The sequence below is a fragment of the Homo sapiens genome, chromosome 4, assembly GCF_000001405.40.
Source record: "Homo sapiens chromosome 4, GRCh38.p14 Primary Assembly".
In the NCBI taxonomy this organism is placed as follows: Eukaryota; Metazoa; Chordata; class Mammalia; order Primates; family Hominidae; genus Homo; species Homo sapiens.
Window position 1 is genome coordinate 128,716,222 of NC_000004.12, and position 20,117 is coordinate 128,736,338.

A 20,117-nucleotide genomic window follows, 5' to 3' on the forward strand; every position below is an offset into this window, starting at 1 on the left:
ACCCTAGACTCTTAATACCTCTCCAGGGCTAGAAGTCACCATTTTCTTCAGAGCAGTCCCGATAGTATCACCTGTGTACTCTGCCTATTAGATGGTGGAGGTAGCAAAATATCTTACATGATAAAAGTAAGGATCATCTGGTGGGAGAGGTAGAGATTGGTTTTGGACGTATTTAGTTAGTCCCTTTTGCTTCTCAAAATAAACATCTTTGTGCTCAGTTAAAAGCTTTCCAAGATGTTCACAAGGGAAGAGGGAATTCTTGCCAAAAACTTAAGCCCAGCCAGACAGGGATACTAAAATTTTGCTGCCTGTGGAAACACGTGGCCACGCAGGACTTTGGCATAAAAACAGTCATCTGTGCTTAAATGATGGCAGTGTAGACTTCTGGTGGTTCAGAGGCTATGTTCAGGGCACCCAGGCACAGTGTACAGGGTCTGACAACTCCATTGGCAGTTCCCATTCAATTACAGTTCACAGCACACTCTTGTCTATTTACAGAACTTACAACTCGGCAAACCTTGGTCCTTATGGTTGGAGGGGTAAAGAGAAACACTTCTCTCACTCTTTTCACAGTTTTAGTTCTGCTTCCAAATCTTAACAGTTGCAAAATGCTTTAGAAGATCTAGGCCCAAGAGCCCATCTGCAATTTTAGTGTTGTGACCTTGGGCAAGACACTTAACCATCTCTGAGCCGCAACTTTCTTGTCCATAAAATGGTGATAATGATCCTTGTTCTACTTTGCTTACAAGAATGTTGTACAGATCAATAAAATAACATAAATAAAAATACATTAAAAAGTGCTATGTAAATACAAGATTTTTAAATTATCAGGTGCCTCCTCTTCTTCTCTGCTCTTTCCTTTATCTCATCTGTTTCTGTGTCCTTTAAGCATCTTCATGGTCTTTTCTTAGTCCAAAATTCCCCATGTGGTTAATGCTTAGCTTCTTAAACACGGGCTTTTTATCAACCAGGCAAATCTATACCTATATATGATCTACCTACCTCCCCATTCAGAGCCAATCTATTACCTTTAGTATAGTCTCATTCATTTCCAGTTGCATGAATTGAGGACTTAATGTCTCTGTGTCCTAGGCTAGGGATACAAAATTGAACGAGCAGATTCAGCCCTCGAGGAACACACCATTAGATCTAAGCATCTTAGACCAGTCAAATAGGTTCATCAGGTCTACATAAGTTGCAGTTGAACCTTCTCTCCCTGGAAGAGAACTCTGCTTCTATGAGTTTAGGTGTATCTGGACAGTTTGGGGCAGAAGTTGAACTTTGAAGTCCTTTAATCCCACTGTTCTGGAGAAGGCAGGCAACTATCCAAGCCTCCTTGAAATTATTTTTCACATTCCTTTGTTGACTGGCCCCATACTTCCCCCTCTTTTTTTCCTAATTCAATATCTTATTTAATGTTGAGCTTTTGCTAGTGTTCAAGTCCATGTTAGACAATGAGAATTGGTTCCATTAGCTTAGCTATCAGGTCAGAGAAATGAGACCACCTGTAGCAACATGACTTACTGTTTGCTCTAGTAAATTCTTGCCCAGGAAGATAAACTTGTAGAGCAATAAATAATTTCACTGTTTGTGTCAGGAAATTCCTGAAAATCAATTTATTTGAAAGTTGCTCATGTGGGCAAATGGCCCTCTTCTCAGGGCAATAAATTCACTTACCTGGGCAAATAGTTCTCTTATCAAACAACTATGCACTTATCAAGACTTGCTTTAGGACCCTCTCATTGCTGTGTCCATCAGATCTACACCTGCTGGGTGCGGTGGCTCACATATGTAATCCCAGCACTTTGGGAGGCTGAGGAGGGTGGATCACCTGAGGTCAGGAGTTTGAGACCAGCCTGGTCAACATGGTGAAACCCTGTCTCTATGAAAAATACAAAAATTAGCCCGGCATGGTGGTGCACGCCTGTAATCCCAGCTACTTGGGAGGCTGAGGCAGGAGAATGGCTTGAGGGGAGGTGGAGGTTGCAATGAGCCTAGATTGCACCACTGCACTCCATCCTGGGTGACAGAGCCAGACTCTGTCTCAAAAAAAAGAAAAAAAAAAAAAGATCACCCTACACCCTATGTATTTCTGCTTCTGTCTTCCCTTTCTGGGATAATCCTAGAACTCTGTCAAGGTGATGCTCTCCCTCATTGCAGGAGGTTCAACAAACTCAGCCGCACTTGATCAACAGATTATTCTGGTGGCTTCTTGGGGAGTTGGCAGTTGACAACTTGGTGCATCATTCAGTAAAGCAAGGGAAACAGAGGGAAAAAATGTCTTAAATTTAACATTTGCCATTTCTTTAAAAAGACCTCTATAGTCATCATCATGTGAAAAATCAGAATTTTGTTAGAGTTCCTTATTCTTTTTATATGATTTGGAATAGTCTTTATTTTGAATTACATATGAGGTGGTACACCATAATTGTTTTGTTACTTGGAGCTTCTAAAAGGCTCCATTCACTCCTGGGTTCCTCCAAAGATCTTTCTGTTACAAATAACTCCCTTTTCTACCCATTATACTTTTTATATATGTTGAAAAGTGATTAGCTAGTTGTGTTCACACTAAAGTAATTGGCTAATATTCGAGGAATTTCACTGAAAGTCTGAGAGGGGCTATGTTGGAGTTAGTTCACTGTTCACACTAAGCAAATTTGGCTTGTAATCTGGCTCTCTCAACCAGTTTAAAACCTGGAAGTTTATCAAAAATGTCACACATGGAAATGAGCACTTGTGGCACTTGTTTAAATTCATGAAATAGCAGTCATTTTAGAGAGAAGAGCTTGGTGAGTCAGAAGCCAATCTTACCAGCTCAGTCTGAGCCCTGCTGAACCTAGCCCATTTTTATAAACCTAGAAAATTGATGTCTACATAGCAATCATGATAGTTATCATGATATCATGATACCATGACTTGTATATTTTCTAAAACTTTTCAAGCCTCAGAGGAAACATTTGAGTTCAGTATTTGGCTTTTGTTGACTTCTAAAGACTAAGGCTGGGCACAGTGGCTATGCCTGTAATCCCAGCAATTTGGGAGGCTGAGGTGGGAGGATCACTTGAGCCCAGGAGTTCAAGACCAGCCTGGGTAACAAAGGAAGACCCCAGCTCTACAAAAAATGTAAAAATAAATAAATACATAAGTAAAAATAAAGACTTATAACCTTCTTTGTAAGTATGCATCCCATGGTAAATTGAGTCTTAATTTTTCCCTCATGGATGCCTTTTATTTTAGGTTTATTTCAGAAAATCCAAAGGTGGTTACTATTTTAAATTTGAGTATTTTGCATGCAGAAATTGAGCACAGGCTTGTTTCCTAAGCAGGTAAGCTGGGAACATTATCATATCATTTCTTGAGTTCTGGTGTATTCAGCAGAGACCAAGATGTTTTCAAATACATTGTGCTAATTTTGACAATTGTGTGAGGTGGTATTAATCTCCCCATTTTAAAGGTGGTGAAGCCAAAGCTCAGAATTTAAATATATTATTAAAGACTTTGGAAAAAAGTGGTAGAGTCAAAATATAACCTAGGTCTACCTAATTTCAAAGTCTGATCTTATTTTTACCTTACCACATTGTCACAGACTTTAACTCCTAGCCATTTTTGAATTGTTTTTATCTTTTAATTCTATCATTAATAAGCATTAGTGAGTGGTATCATTTTCAAAGAATGTATAAAAGATTTTTAAAGCAGAAACAAAAGCTCAAATAATATCTTTATATACTCACATGTTAATCAAGATCCAGGATATTATTTAAGTAAACAAATAGCTATCCTAAGATGTAACTATTAATGAAACTCTAATTAATGAATTTGCTCATTTGTCTTCTTTATTTGAAGACATTACTGCTTCTGATATATGCATATCCTACAATGTTATAGGGTAAAAGAGATATCTCTTCCTCATCCATCACTATGTTCCTGGTTGAGGCCCCTATAACAAAAGACATTAACAACAGAAAAACACACAAATGTATTTAATATCTTATACCTGACGGGGGGGGCTTCATTCATAAGGAAATGAAGACGTAACAAAGAAACTTGTGTATTTTTATGCTTAGGTTTGATGAAGAGTAGTCAATTGTGGAGAAATATCACTAGAGGACAAAAAAAATGATCTAATAATAATAAACTGGGGGATCTTAGTAAGGCCTGTTTGTTCAGATTCTCTTCTCTGTGTCCCTGTGTCTTCAAAGATAAAGATGTTCCTTCCCTCCAGCTATCAGGAGGGCACTTCTCACATGAGGTTCTTATGACCTGCTTCAGGGGAGAAACGCCCGTAGGTCAAAAAGTGACCTTCCTAGGTTTTATGACCTCCTTCAGGGAGGGGGAGGGGCTCGGGGAAGGTGAGAGTAACCTGCCTGCTTCTGCTGTTCTCAAATTCCTTCATCTTAAATATATTTAATATGCCAAGGCGCCATATTTTGGAATAGCATGTCTTAAAACCAATCAATGTATTTATTTACTTATTTATTTTGAGATGGAGTCTTGCTGTGTCACCCAGGCTGGAGTGCAGTGGCGCAGGCTTGCTCACTGCAACCTCCGTCTCCTGGGTTCAAGCAATTATCCTACCTCAGCCTCCTGAGTAGCTGGGATTAGAGGCACCTGCCACAACTCCCAGCTAATTTTTGCATTTTTAGTAGAGACGGGGTTTTACCACATTGGCCGGGCTGGTCTCAAACTCCTGAGCTCAGATGGTCCACCTCCCTCCCTGCCCCACCGCCTCCCAAAGTGCTGGGATTACAGGCATGAGCCGCTGTGCCCAGCAAATTAATGTATTTTTAAGTATTTCACCTTGGACTTATTACATGTGTTCTTTGTTAATCTTATTAAAAAGTTGCTTTTCTAACCTAGAAATTTATTTTGTATCCCATTACATCTTATAAAATGATCAAATGGCCAAAACATTATTTTTCAAAAATTCACTTTATTAAGTTAATATAATATGAACCTGCAGCATTTTTATTTAGAAGAACCATCCCTAGTATTACATATTCAGTACATCTGCACTTTCTTTTTTTTTTTTTTTTTTGACACAGTCTTGCACTGTCGCCCGGGGCTGGTGTGCAGCGGCGCAATCTCGGCTGGCTGCAACCTCTGCCTCTCGGGTTCAAGCAATTCTCCTGTCTCACCCTCCCCAGTAGCAGGGATTACAGGCACATGCCACCACGCCCAGCTAATTTTTGTATTTTTAGTAGAGACAGTGTTTCACTGTGTTGGCCAAGCTGGTCTTGAACTCCTGACCTCGTAATCTGCCTGCCTCTGCCTCCCAAAGTGCTGGGATTACAGGCGTGAGTCACCATGCTCGGCCTGCACTTTTTCTAACTAAAGGTTCAAGACACTGAAGACATGAAGTTGTATTCGACCATTTCTGTTTTTAAAATGTTATTTAACAAGTTATGTGAGTGATCGGAAGGGCTTCTTTTCTGCTGTTTATTTGCATCTTATGCTTTTCCTTTTTGCTCTGTCTTCTATCTCATTTCATTTTTACACCTTCTTACTTTTAAGGACATTTATCACACGCTGCAAATGCTGCTTGTGCATCTCTATTCTGTTTATGAGCAGGATAATGTCATTGGCATTTTAATATTTCACAGCAGCAGCAGTCATGACCAAACGTTCCCCTCATTGGTTTTCCTTTTTCCTTTCTAACTCTTCCTCTTTATTTTTTGTTCTTCTTAAGCCTGAACAGGGTACCTATATGAAATCAAAAGAAAGCTGTCATTTAAAAAGGGATGACCCTAGCCACTAGGGCCTAGCATTCAGGAAAAAAACAAATTCGTACCCTGACTGCTCCACAAGTAGCAAGCCAGCATGGATCCTGGACTGTGAGGCCAGTGAAACAGACGCAGCAGCTGGGATGGAAGAGGAGTTTCTGATTGGCCTGACTACTTGAGAAAGGTTACAGGGAGTGGGAAAAATCTGACCTTTCTCGAAATGAGGAATGTGCCTGGAGGATTCCCCACACGAAACAAAGAATGGTTCACTCATCACCTGTGTGTTTCCATTCTATATTCAGAGCAAAGCAGTGATCTCTTGGTTATTCTGTGACAGGTTTCTTCTACTGTGGCAAAAAGCCTGAACTGATGGCCTTCCAGATGTGTATTAAAACGATGTTTCTGAATGGGCAAAATAACATAACTGCTGTTTTAACTCAGGCATAGCATAACAGCTAAGACACCTCCACCAGGTTCTTCATTTATACACAGGCACTTCGGTCTTTCTCTTTTATCATCTTCTTACCTTGTAAACTTTAAAAGTCTCCATGGTAAATGTGATAGGTGGCATAAAGGAAAGCAAAGGTCTTGATGAGAGTAACATAACATTTACAAATTACCCTAAATTACTGCTAATAATAGTACTTTGTATTTGTGAAATTTTAAAAAATATTTCATATCGCTATCAAAACTATCCATTCATTTGTCAATGAATACTTACTGGAAACTATGTACCAGGACCTCTGGGTGATGGGGAAGAGAGCAATGTTCAAGACAAATAAGATTGCTACTCTCATGTATCTCATATTCTAGAATGGTGTGGGATGGAGGGAGACAAACAATAAACAAGTAAACAATAAATGAACAGAACATATCCAGATAATGGCCAGATATACGAAGATAATAAAATGGTATAATAAAGAATGGCTCTGGAGGGGTGACTGTTTTAGATTGAGTGGTCACAGAGTCTCTGTAAAGAGAAAATAGGACAGAATTTCTTAGACCTTGTGGAGAACCTAAACCTATCTATTCCAGTGTTCTTAGCTTAGGTAAGAAAACACAGGTCCTGGGAACTTACCAGTGAGAAAACTAAGATCAGTAGAGGTTAAAGTCTTACTGTCACAAACAAGTATACAGCTATTCTACACAGTGCCTGGGCAGACGTAGAACTGTAGGCAATTGCTTGGTCATCAGACAGCTCCTTTGTGCATATTAGAAGACAAGTGCCCCTTTCTCAGGGAAAATGCCCTTGTGCAATGCACAACCTACATAGTTAATAATGTACTATACGTTTTACAATATCTAAAAGGGAGGATTTTGTCTTCACCACAAAGAACTGATAAACATCTGACATGATAGATATGATAATTAACCTGATTTGATTATTCCACATGAGCCCACAAGTATATGCAATTATTGTTTCTCAATTAAAAATAAAATAAATATTTAAAAAAGAGAAAGGAAGTTTGGAAGTGGATAGTTTGTCAGGGACCCAACCTACTTCCATCTTTTGTTCTGCCATATTTAACTTCTATTGCTAAGATAACATTACGGCTCAAGATTATATACATATTTTAGGTAGCACTAACAAGAGACAAAGGAGATGCATGTCCTGCCTTTAAGGAACTTCAAGGAAGTTCTACAACACACTTCGGTTTACATGTCATTGGCCAGAATAAGTCATGTGACCTTTTGCAAAGGCGACTGGAACATGTAGTCTGTTAGTTAAGTGGCCACGTGTTCAGCTAAAATCAGAGTTCTGCTTTTAAAAAGAAGCAGGGCGGGGCGCGGTGGCTCACGCCTGTAATCCCAGCACTTTGGGAGGCTGAGGCGGGTGGATCACCTGGGGTCAGGAGTTCGAGACCAGCCTGACCAGCATGGAGAAACCCCGTCTCTACTGAAAATGCAAATTTAGCTGGGGGTGGTGGCATGCGCCTGTGATCCCAGCTGCTCCGGATGCTGGGGCAGGAGAATCGCTTGAACCCAGGAGGCAGAGGTTGCAATGAGCCGAGATCGCACCATTGCACTCCAGCCTGGGCAACAAGAGTGAAACTCCGTCTCAAAAAAATAAATAAATAAATAAATAAATAAATAAATAAATAAATAAAAAGAAACAGACAATGGATATTGGAAGGTAGCCAGTAGTCCCTGTCACACCATCCAGACCCAGGTCACCTGTGTCAGATCTGGGGACAGGAAGTGTCAGTTTGTGAGAAATGAAAAAGCTAGTCATTAAGAGTTATAATATCTGGGGGCTGACTCTACCACTTACTAGCCCAGTGACTTTAAGCAATTTACATATTCTCTTTTAGATTTAGATTCTTTACTCATTGGAAGAATAAAGACACTATCTAATGTTTAGGGTTTCTTGACGATTAAGAGGTAATATTTATAAGAAATAAAGCACCTGGCCAGGCGCGATGGCTCACACCTGTAATCCCAGCACTTTGGAAGGCCGAGGTGGGTGGAATCACCTGAGGTCAGGAGTTTGAGACCAGTCTGGCCAACATGGTGAAACCCTGTTTCTACTAAAAATACAAAAAATTATCCAAGACTGGTGGTGCGTGCCTGTAATCCTAGCTACTTGGGAGACTGAGGCAGGAAAATCGCTTGAACTCGGGAGGCAGAGGTTGCAGTGAGCCGAGATCATGCCATTGCACTCCAGCTTGGGCAACAAGACTGAAACTCTGTCTCAAAAATAAATAAATAAATAAATAAATAAATAAATAAATAAATAAATAAAGCATTTAACTATATCTAGCACGTGAGAAGCATTTAGTAAATATGATTTTCCTTTTTTCTATCTGTTATAAATAGTTTTCCCAGCTCTGCCTACTGCAGCTTTTTTTTTTTGACTCCTTTTTTTTTTTAAAGGTCTTAAGATGAGCCTGTTTATCTTCATCTCTCCCTATCTCCTTCTTCAACAGTCCCAAACTATGTGCACAGAAAGCAGCTTATGCTCCAGGCACGGTGGCTCACGCCTATAATCCCAGCACTTTGGGAAGCCTAGGCGGATGGATCACTTGAGGTCAGGAGTTCGAGACAAGCCTGGCCAACTGGTGAAACCCCGTCTCTACTAAAAATCCAAAAAAAAAAAAAAAAATTAGCCAGGTGTCATGGTGCATGCCTGTAATCCCAGCTACCTAGGAGGCTGAGGCAGGAGAATCACTTGAACCCGGGAGACGAAGGTTGCAGGGAGCCAAGATCACACCATTGCATTCCAGCCTGGGCAACAAGAGCGAAACTCCATCTCAAAAGAAAAAAAAAGCAAGCTGCTTATGCCTCAAAATTCCTGTCACAATGAGGCTGAGTAGGGAAGGTCATTTCTGGATGGTTCAAACATGAACTAGACAAATGCCCCTTTTGGGGTGGGACAGCCAAAGGACTGGTAAATTACAAGGCTGCCATGAAGGCATGGTTGCAGCCTGTGATCTTACGGGTTGTGTCCTGCACAGAGCACCAGATTCAGGGATAGAGCAAGGGCTGACATCTAGGCTGAAATCCTTTTGCAACAACTTGGGGGGAAAAAAGAGCTTTTTTTCTAACAGGTCTAAAGGGTCAATTCCTATGCCTGCAGGGGCCCATTTTTCTAAATTCCACAAAGGAAACTTCCCTGCTGGCTTCCCTACAGGCAGTGTCCCCAGTGCCCTGTCAGAACAGGTCCAAACTTCAGTCATTCTGCTTTCTTCAGTGCCCTGGCCACCTTCCCCAGTCCACGTGCCATCAACAAACACAGGATATAGATCTGCTTGTTCAGTGTGTACCTTTCTCTGCGCCTCCATTACCTGAGTCATGAGTATGCATAGTGGTCACTTGGCTCCAACATTTTTTTTTTTCTTTGAAAAAGGAAAAGACAAAACTTTGTGGCTTAAAAGTAGAAGTGTCAAGATGGTGTTACAATTATAGCACCAAAGTCTGGAGAAATGCCTCAGACATGGAAAGCATTAAAATATAGAAAGCTAGTTTTCTAAAATAGTTTTATGGCACTGATGTAAATGGTTTGGATTTTTCCCCTTTAAAGTTTATTTTACTTTTTTCTTCTTCTGATTGTAATCAGTCATCTAAAAGACAACTGGAAGAAGCCTTTGAGAACAGTCGTTTTTAAATGATGAGCTATCAAAATGACTTTGGGAAGAAAAAAAAAAGGAACCTACAAGTGCAATGACCCAGAAAGTAGCTACACGTATGTAAGGAGGTATAAAGCTCCAGTGCTTAGGTTCAAGGCCATTTCTTTTTGCTTAAAGGCTTGAAAACAGAGAAGAAAAAATTCCACGACCCCAAACAACAGTAACATAAAAAAACTGTCACCCAAAGTCTTTCTTCCCAGAGGAAAAATGTCAAGGATATTTCTAAGTTAATTGGACACACCATTAGAAGTGACGGTCTGTTTTAGATGTTGCCCCTCTGAAAGCCTTTTGGGTTGATATCACTAAACCACTCTCTTCATGAAGATATTTTATTTCCAACTAAACTGTGTAGTAAATCATATATTATTTTTAATTTTTAAAGTTCTTAGAGCAAATTATTTTGAGCTACCAACTCTGTTGGGTCTTCTGCTCTAGATGATCCTTAATGTGAGAAGTCACATAATCCTGAATCCTGAAACACTCTTTTTTTTTTTTTTTTTTTTGAGACAGAGTTTCACTCTTATTGCCCCAGGCTGGAGTGCAGTGGCACCATCTGGGCTCACTGCAACCTCCACCTCCCTGGTTCAAGTGATTCTCCTGCCTCAGCCTCGTGAGTAGCTGGGATTACAAGCACCCGCCACCATGCCCAGCTAATCTGAAACACTCTTGAAGTCTACTTGGCTAAGCATTTGGTCAGTGTTTTTTTGTTTAGTTGGTTTTGGGGTTTTTTGGGTTTTTTTTTTTTTTTTTTGAGACGGAGTTTCACTCTGTCCCAGGCTGGAGTGCAATGGCATGATCTTGGCTCACTGCAACCTCCGCCTCCCGGGTTCAGGCGATTCTCCTGCCTCAGCCTCCTGAGTAGCTGGGATTACAGGTGTGCACCACCACACCTGGCTAATTTTTGTATTTTTAGTAGAGATGGGGTTTCACCATGTTGGTCAGGCTGGTCTCGAACTCCTGACCTTGTGATCCGCCCACCTCGGCCTCTCAAAGTGCTGAGATTACAGGTGTGAGCCACCATGCCCGGCCGGTGGTTTTGGGGTTTTTTTTGAGATGGGGTCTTGCTATGTAGCCCAGGCTGGAGTCAGTGGTGTGATCTTGGCTCACTGCAGCCTCAACCTCCTGGGCTCAAGCAATCCTTCCACCTCAGCCTCCTGAATAGCTAGGACTACAGGCGTGTGCCCCAACACCCAGGTAATTTTTGTAAACTTTTGGAGAGACAAGGTCTTTTTATATTGCCCAGGCTGGTCTCAAACTTCTGGCCTGAAACGATCCTCATGTGTCAGCCTCCCTAAGTGTTGGGATTACAGGAGTGAGTCATTGTGCCCGGCTCTTGTGTTCATAGTTTCATGAAGAACTTGTGATTTTTTTTTTGTCAGATTCCACCATCTTCTCATTATATTAATGAATGCCACCCACAATGAAAAATTAACATTTTCGGAACTAGAGAGAGTAAAATAAGGTAAGATACTAATATTGTTGGCCATTTTTTGACTATATATCAGCACCTGCAGCATATGCCATAGCAGTTCCCATTTCATGTAAATATAGCCTCAAAAAGTGCTCTTTTTTGTCCCACGCCTACAGTGCAAAAAGATAAAAGTCAAAAACTTTAGTTTAAAGTTCACTTTTTTAAGTTTATGTAACCAACTTGTGACAGCTAATATTATAACCAGAGATAACTCAAGAAAGCCTAGTTATGGTATACTGGAAAAAGAATAGCAGATAACTGTGGAATGCACCATCAGTGATAAATGACTCTTTAAGCAAAAGTGTCAGGCAGTTCAAAAAGCAAAAAGGCAAGCTGTAAACAGCAGTAGGCAGAGGGCAGTCTTAATATGCATGCTGTTGTTTGAGGGGCCTGCAGAGCATCAATCTTTTCAGTTACAATTTGCAGATACATAATACAGAAAACCTCTATGATAAAACCTTCTGGAAAGGAAAATTGACATGTGTACAAACAGAAAGATTTCAATGACACCCCAAAATATACTAATGTGAATGGTGCAGCATTAAGTTCTGTAGGAAAAACAATTGTCCTCAGAAATCATCCATTCATTCATTCATTTAGCAAAGATTTATTGGATATCTACTAAGTACCAGGCACTGATAGGTCCTGGGACCACACAGATAAAGAAAATATGGTCCCTGCACCATAAATCTCAGGTTTTATTAAAACAAGTGCCATCTACATATACTCAAATGCATTCATATGTGCAACAAAAGGTAGCACAAGAATTTCATAAGAAAAGCTGGGAGCTGTGGCCTGTGCCTGTAATCCCATGCTACTTGGGAGGTAGTGTGGGAGAATGCCTGAGCCTGGGAGTTTAAGGCTGCAGTGAGCTATGATGACACCGCTGCACTCAGTCCTGGGCAACAGAGTGAGATCCTGTCTCTAAAAAAGAAATTAAAATTAAATTAAAGTTAAAAAAAAAAAAAGAATTTTGTAACAGCCCTATTTATAATTCCCCAAACAGGAAACAACCGAAATGTCCATCAACAGGAGACTGGATAATGGGAGAGTCATACAATGAAATACTATTTAGCAATGAAAATAAAAGCAATTGCAGCCACATAAATGAATTTTACAATGTTAGTAGATATAAAATTTTACAAAGAAGGTAGATATAAAAATATCATATTGCATTATTCCATTTATATAAGGTTTAAAAGTGGCAAAATGAATTTGATAGAGCACACGATAAGGCTTAGAGTGGAGATGAGGGGGTAGTAACTGGTCAGTGTACAGAGGGCACTGCTGGGCAGTTTTGTTTTCTGACCTGGGTGGTGGATACACAGTTATGATCACTTTGTAAAAATTTATTGATCTACACACATGCATATTCAGCATTTATCTTACATTTCTGTTAAAAAGCACATTGAAAAATAAATGCCAGCTCTTTTAAGCAATATATTTCAATGTATGTTAATTGTTGGGAGTGTTTCAAGAACGAATTTTTGGCCTTTCTGTGACTTGCCTCAATTTTCTTGTGCTTGGACTCTATCCAGAGGAAAGTGGATGCTTGAAGATACAGCATTGGAAATATCATTAAAGATCTTTAATAATTTTCTTCCAATTTTGAAAAAAATCAACCACATTTTGGTCTACTCATCGTTTAACAGCAGCTCTAAAATGTTAAGAATTCTGCTAAGAACTTACCCTAACAGCAAATTCATATACAAAAATTTTGCTAATTTTTCAAAATCAAGTTCAGATCTTAAGTTAAATTGTTATTTGACATTTGCTTTCTACATATTAAAAACCTACCAAGAGGTTTTTGTCAGCGGAGTGAATTCTGAGAGAAATCTAACGTGGGCACAAAGAAGTTACAGCCCCACCAAATACTGTTTTGTTTTTATATTTGAGTGCCTACCTGCCAATTACTGTTTATTAGCTTTTGCTCATGTGGGCAGATGCCCTTGATAAAACCAAAATTTGTTATTGAACAAAGTCAAATTCTCCAGGTAGGTACAATGTTGGAGACAGCCACATAATTCATATCTGCCCAGGGCTAGGACCTTGAGTTGACAAATTTTGCCAACCTTAACTAGTAAAGCTTAGATTTGCTACCAGGCCTTTTCACCTAGAAGTCCATGACCATGTTCTCAGAATGAAATGTACTTTCATGGGCATTCTGGAGGTACAAGAACTACTCTGTTTCATTTGTATTCTAAGCGGCCAGGCTTGAGGACTCATGCAGTCTTTAATTTATAAATAGCATTTTATAAAGCACAGAATTCCAAGAGGTAGAAAATGTTGTGTTACAGAAATGGTGAATAAGTAGAAAGTAAATAGTCCTTCAGCAATAGTGAATTTTGACAGGAAAACAATGCTAGCATAAGCCTATCCTACATAGTGACTGCCTGTGTTCTTTAAGTGCTACTATTGTATTTTGTTTGATTTAAAATAGAATGAAAAATTCTCAGCCTGTAAGTCCCAAGAAGCAGACTGACTGACATCAGTAGCATATGCCCCAGAATGAACCAAAGCAGACATTAAAAATATATTTAATTGTGAAAAATTCCAAACGTACACAAAAGTGGAGAGAATGTGCCAATTACCCAGTTTCAACAAAAATGAACATTCTATCAATCTTGCTTCATCTATCCCTTCCACCTATACCTATTTCCTTCCTTTATTTCTTTTTACTTCCTCCCTCCTTCCTTCTCTTCCCCTTCCTTTTTCTTTTCTTCTTTCTTGCTTCCTTTTCCTGAAAATTTTATTTTTATTTTTATTTATTATTATTATTTTTTTTTTTTGAGATGGAGTCTCGCTCTGTCACCAGGCTGGAGTGCAGTGACACGATGTCGGCTCACTGCAACCTCCGTCTCCAGGGTTCAAGCGATTCTCCTGCCTCAGCCTCCTGAGTAGCTGGGATTACAGGCGCGCGCCACCACGCCCGGCTAATTTTTGTATTTTTAGTAGAGACGGGGTTTCGCCATGTTGGCCACGCTGGTCTCGAACTCCTGACCTCAGGTGATCCACCCGCCTCGGCCTCCCAAAGTGCTGGGATTACAGGCGTGAGCCACAGCGCCCGGCTCCTGAAAATTTTAAAAGAAAGTCTCAGACATCATGTAATTTCCTTTGTAAATACTTTAGTAAACACCTCTAATTTTTTTTTTTTTTTTTAGACAGATGTCTCCCTCTGTCGCCCAGGCTAGAGTGCAATGGCACCATCACAGCTCATACAGCCTTGATCTCCCTGGCTTAAACGACCTTCTGCCTCAGCTTCCCAAGTAGCTGGGACCACAGACACGTGCCGCCACACCCAGCTAATTTTTTTTTTTTAATATTCTTGTAAAGATGGGGTCTCCTTGTGTTGCACAGGCTCATCTGTCACTTTTTTATGCAGAAATTTGTTATAGAAACTGGCTCTGCTGGGCACGGTGGCTCACACCTGTAATCCCAGCACTTTGGGAGGCTGAGGCGGAAGAATCACTAGAGGTCAGGAGTTCGAGACCAGCCTGGCCAACATAGCCAAACTCTGTCTCTACTAAGAATGCAAAAGTAGCTGGGTGTGGTGGTGCGTGACTGTAGTCCCAGCTACTCAGGAGGCTGAGGCAGGAGAATTGCTTAAGCCCAGGAGGCAGGAGTTGTAGCCAGCTAAGATGGCACCACTGCACTCCAGCCTGAGTGACAGAGTGAGACCCTGCCTCAAAAAAGAAAGGAAAAGAAAAGAAGAAAGAAAGAGAGAAAGGGAGAAAGAAAGGGAGAAAGAGAGAGAGAGAGAGAGAGAAAGAGAGGGAGGAAGGGAAGAAGGAAGGGAGGGAGGGAGGGAGGGAGGGAGGGAGGGAGGGAGGGAGGGAGGGAAAAAGAAACTGGCTCATTTTTTCCTGTAAGATGTTTTATTTTGCATAGGGCAGACTGTCTCCTTGTGGTTATTTCACTTGTTCCTCTATCCTCCATAAGCGGTGGTTAAATCTAGACATTGATTAGATTAGATTTGATTCATTCATTTTTTTTTTTTTAACCATCGTGGCCATTTTAGGCCTCAATTTGCTGTCATTTAAAATGCTTTTGGACTTGGCATAATTCCCTGCTGTATATTTTTGTTGTTGTTGTTTTTAGTTATTATTTAATATGGTACTTTATTCTGTTAGTGGCCTTTTGTAACCGCCCGATGGGTTCACCTTGTCCTCTGCCTAGACAGAGCTGATTTATCAAGACAGGGGAATTGCAATAGAGAAAGAGTAATTTGGCCGGTGGGGTGGCTCATGCCTGTAATCCCAGCACTTTGGGAGGCCAACGAGGGCGTATCACCTGAGGTCAGGAGTTTGAGACCAGTCTGGCCAACATGGTGAAACCCCATCTTTACTAAAAATACAAAAAAAAAAAAAAAACAAAATAGATGGGCATGGTGACATGTGCAGTTGTAGCTATTCAGGAGACTGAGGCAGGAGAATCTCTTGAACCTGGGAGGTGGAGGTTACAGTAAGCCAAGATAGCCCCACTGCACTCCAGCCTGGGGGGACAGAGCGAGACTCTGTCTCAATAAATAAATAAATAAATAAATAAATAAATAAATAAATAAATAAAGTAATTCACGCAGAGCTGGCTGTGCAGGAGACCAGAGTTTTATTATTATGCAAGTCAATCTCCCCGAAAACTTGGAGATCAGAGTTTTTAAGGATAATTTGGTGGGGGGCAGGGGGCAGTGAATCAGGAGTGTTGATTGGTTGGCTCAGGGATGAAATCATAGGGAGTTGAAGTTTTTTTCTTATGCTGACTCAGCTTCTGAGGGGAGGCCACAGAACTGGTTGGCAGGTCCAGGTGGGACCATCCAGTTGTTAGAAATGCAAAAACCTGAAAAGACATCTCAAAAGGCAGATCTGAGGTTCACAATAGTGATGTTACCTTTAAGAGAAGTTGGGGAAGTTGTGAATCTTATGACCTCCGGAATAATGGCTGGTAATATTTAGGATTCCAGCCCTTCTCATTCTAACTTGGGTGGCTGGTGGCCTTTCATTCATTTTACAAGAACAGTCTAGCTTTTGGGAAGGGCTCTTGTTATTTAAACTGTAAACTAAATTCCTTCCCAAGGCTAGTTTGGCCTATACCCAGAAATGAACAAGGACAGTTTAGAGGTTAGAAGCAAGATGGAGTTGGTTAGCTCAGGTATCTTTCAGTGTCATAATTTCCTTAGTTATAGTTTTGGAAAGGCGGTTTCACTCTTATTCCGTGAATGGACACTCAGCCTCTTATCAGCAGAGCTGGGAAGAGAACCTAAATCTTTCCAAGTCTTATGCTGTGCCCTATCTATCACAGAATGCTTCTGGAAGGAGAAGAAGAGCTCCCTTTTTGTATTTCTCACATCCACCATAATCTTTTGAAATTAGAACCCTGCAGCAGTCTTGGAAAAAGTACCATTCCACTCTTCCCAGTCAAGGACTCATAAAACCCACCGTAAGGACAATGTTAATATTACTGTTGCAGTTGAAAATTTTCTTTACCATCAGCAATTACTTTTACAGTATTTTGAACAAAATTGAATGCTGGGTCAGAGAAAACAAATTCCTAGGGATTGACGATCATCAATGATAATTCTTTCCATTTCCTAGTGTCTAATTTTTTCAGATCAGCTTGTCATATATTCATTGTGACTATCTTAATTATTGTAAGCCTCACTAGTATTAAAATTCTTTTTTCCCAAGACTGGCAAATAGAATCTAAATCTTTCCAAGTCTTATCCGGGGCCCTTTCCATCACAGAATGCTTCCGGAAGGAGAAGAGCTCCATTTTCCTATTTCTTATATCAATTACTGATCATTGATGATGATTATTGAAAATTGTTAACGTTAGATAATGTAAACCAGAAAGTATCTGAAACAGGACTCAATCAGTATAGAAAGTTATTTTGTCAAGGTTAAGGACACATCTGTGACACAGCCTCACAAGGTCATGAGGACACACATCTGAGGTGGTTGAGGTACAGCTTGCTGTTATACATTTTAAAGAGACATGAGACATCAATCAATATACGTAAGATGTACATTGGTTCCATCCAGTAAGGCGGGACAACTTAGTGGGGTGGTGCTTCCAGATCATAAGTAGGTAAAAGACAAAAGGTTGCATTCTTTTGAGTCCTTGATCAGCCTTCCACTGAATGCACAATTTAGTCTGCCTCGGTGAATCTGCATTTTTACAAAATAGGGCAGAGAAAGCAATCAGATAAGCCTTTGTCTCAGGTGAGCCTTAGAAGGATGACTTTGAGTTCTGCCTGTTTTGTCCACAAGGAATTTCCTTGTGGGCAAATTGTGCGGGAGGTATGTAGCTTTTTATCGTGGTAGCTATCTTATTTAGGAATAAAATGGGAAGCAGGTTTGCCTGACATAGTTCGCAGCCTGACTTTTCCTTTGGCCTAGTGATTTTGGGGTCCTGAAATTTATTTTCCTTTCACAATAATAAGTAATAGGGTTTGCTATAATAATCCCTCTTTTAAAATGAAATAAGATAGGCTGGTCGCGGTGGCTCATGCCTGTAATCCCAGCACTTTGGGAGGCCAAGGAGGGTGGATCACAAGGTCAGGAGATCGAGACCATCCTGGCTAACACGATGAAACCCCGTCTCTACTAAAAATACAAAAAATTAGCTGGGTGTGGTGGCAGGCGCCTGTGGTCCCAGCTGCTTAGGAGGCTGAGGCAGGAGAATCATTTGAACCCGGGAGGCGGAGGTTCCAGTGAGCTGAGATCAGGCCACTGCACTCCAGCCTGGGCGACAGAGTGAGACTCCGTCTCAAAAAAATAAATAAAATAAAATAAAATAAAATAAAATAAAATAAAATAATAAAATTGAAAATTATTATTTTCTTCTCTCATCATGCCTAAAATCAGGTGTCCAAAAGATAACAAAATCTTAAGTCAGGTTGTCATATTGACACAGAGGGTTTGGAAGCTGTCTTTTGACTCAAACAAGCTTAGGCCTCTTCTGTTGCAGAAACACCACTGTATTCATTGCTATTTATTACAACTGAACTCTGTTACTGTGATTTTAGCCTTGTCTCCACGGGAACCCATTTATTTATTTATTTTGTAAATATCTGTATTCTGTTGAAGGAAGCCCATTTATTAGCAAAAGCTGTTACACACTTTATTTTCAAAAATACCCAGTGTTTTGAAAAGACTCCCAAGTTGTGTTTTCCTCTACTCTCATACCACCACCACAACAATCATCAACACAGAAGACTTCGGTGACCAAACGTGGGGATTTTTCCCCACATGCCAAGCAGTGAACACCAGCTGGGTGTCCTCCAATTAAATTCCACACTGTCGCCGGGCGTGGTGGCTCATGCCTGTAATCCCAGCACTTTGGGAGGCCGAGGTTGGCGGATCACCTGAGGTCAGGAGTTCGAGACCAGCCTGACCAACATGGAGAAACCCCGTCTCTACTAAAAATACAAAAAAAAATTAGCCAGGCATGATGGCGCATGCCTGTAATCACAGCCACTCGGGAGGCTGAAGCAGGAGAATTGCTTGAACCTGGGACGCGGAGGTTGTGGTGAGCCGAGATCGTGCCATTGCACTCCAGCCTGGGCAACAAGAGCAGAACTCCATCTCAAAATAAATAAATAAATAAATAAATAAATTCCACAGTCTACCCAGAGACAGTGTCAGATCCCATAAGGTGAGGTTTTAGTCCCCAAAACTGCCCCTAACCCCAAACACCAGTCGTTAAGTCAGGGCCTCTGGAACTTCTGACCCATTGGCTTCAAATTGGGATTCCCAAAACCCCCTCCTCGGGTTTGATTAATTTGCGGGGGCAGCTCACAAAACTCAGGGAAATTAATTATTCTATTATGTTTACTGGTTTATTATAAAGGATATTACCAAGGATACAGATAAGGAGATGCATAAGGCAAGATATGGGGAAAGAGGCTTCCATGCCCTCCCTGGGCGCAGGACACTCCAGGAAGCTCCATGAGTTCACCTATCTGGAAGCTCCCGAACCCAGTCCTCTTGGGTTTTTATGGAAGTCTAATGATGTCAGCATTTCTTCCCCCAGTGTATAAGGCGGGACGGCTCTAGTGGGGGTCTTAAGACTCACAATCAGAAAGGCGGGAAAGATGAGAGTCCTGCCTTGGGGCAGGTGAAAGGAGAGCAGGAGGTCAGAGGCCTTCCCCTAAGGCCTAACATGCCCAACATGATAACAAAATACTCTAACAGGGGCTATGGGAGTTATGAGCCAGGAGCGGTGGACAAAAAACATTATATAATACCTATTTATGTGTATATACCATTATATATTATATATATGCATATATAACATTGCATATCATATTATTATATAATTATACACAATACCAATTAATTTATATTTTTAGTATTACTAATTAATAATATTTATTATTGATTTATATTATTATCTATTAATATTATTATATAATTATATACTATTAATATATTATATATATATAAAATCTCCTGGCCCCAAGCGATCCTCCCATGTCAGTATTTCAAGTAGCTGGCACTACAGGCTTGAACCACCACACCAGGCTAATTTTGTTTATTTTTTTATAGAGACAAGGTCACACTGTCTTGCCCAGGCTGGTCTCAATACATGTAATATAATATATAATATACATATTATATCCATATATATGCACACATAAAATAACACCACAGCCAGTAGTGAATATGAAGTCAATATTGTTCTAGATCAGGGAGATTATTGCATCCCCCAATTGCTGAGGGAAGATTACAAGGCACTTGTCTGAGACTTGCATGGTTCTACTGAAGTGAAGCAGTAGAACTCATCAGGCACATTTTTTCAAAT

General features: G+C 40.5%; 4 annotated features.

Moving 5' to 3' along the window:
* Nucleotides 2,984-3,153: an enhancer, noted in NCBI's record as "experimental_74071 CRE fragment used in MPRA reporter constructs". NCBI's record gives its function as "activates a minimal promoter by MPRAs in K562 erythroleukemia cells, with activity observed for the introgressed 4:129640445 variant allele {active_cell/tissue: K562}" and the evidence as "EXISTENCE:reporter gene assay evidence [ECO:0000049][PMID:34662402]".
* Nucleotides 13,077-13,246: an enhancer, noted in NCBI's record as "experimental_74072 CRE fragment used in MPRA reporter constructs". NCBI's record gives its function as "activates a minimal promoter by MPRAs in K562 erythroleukemia cells, with activity observed for both the introgressed and non-introgressed 4:129650538 variant alleles {active_cell/tissue: K562}" and the evidence as "EXISTENCE:reporter gene assay evidence [ECO:0000049][PMID:34662402]".
* Nucleotides 17,439-17,940: an enhancer, noted in NCBI's record as "H3K27ac hESC enhancer chr4:129654815-129655316 (GRCh37/hg19 assembly coordinates)". NCBI's record gives its function as "activates a minimal SCP1, AML or CMV promoter by ChIP-STARR-seq in naive H9 embryonic stem cells {active_cell/tissue: H9 hESC(naive)}" and the evidence as "EXISTENCE:reporter gene assay evidence [ECO:0000049][PMID:30033119]".
* Nucleotides 17,941-18,440: an enhancer, noted in NCBI's record as "H3K27ac hESC enhancer chr4:129655317-129655816 (GRCh37/hg19 assembly coordinates)". NCBI's record gives its function as "activates a minimal SCP1, AML or CMV promoter by ChIP-STARR-seq in naive H9 embryonic stem cells {active_cell/tissue: H9 hESC(naive)}" and the evidence as "EXISTENCE:reporter gene assay evidence [ECO:0000049][PMID:30033119]".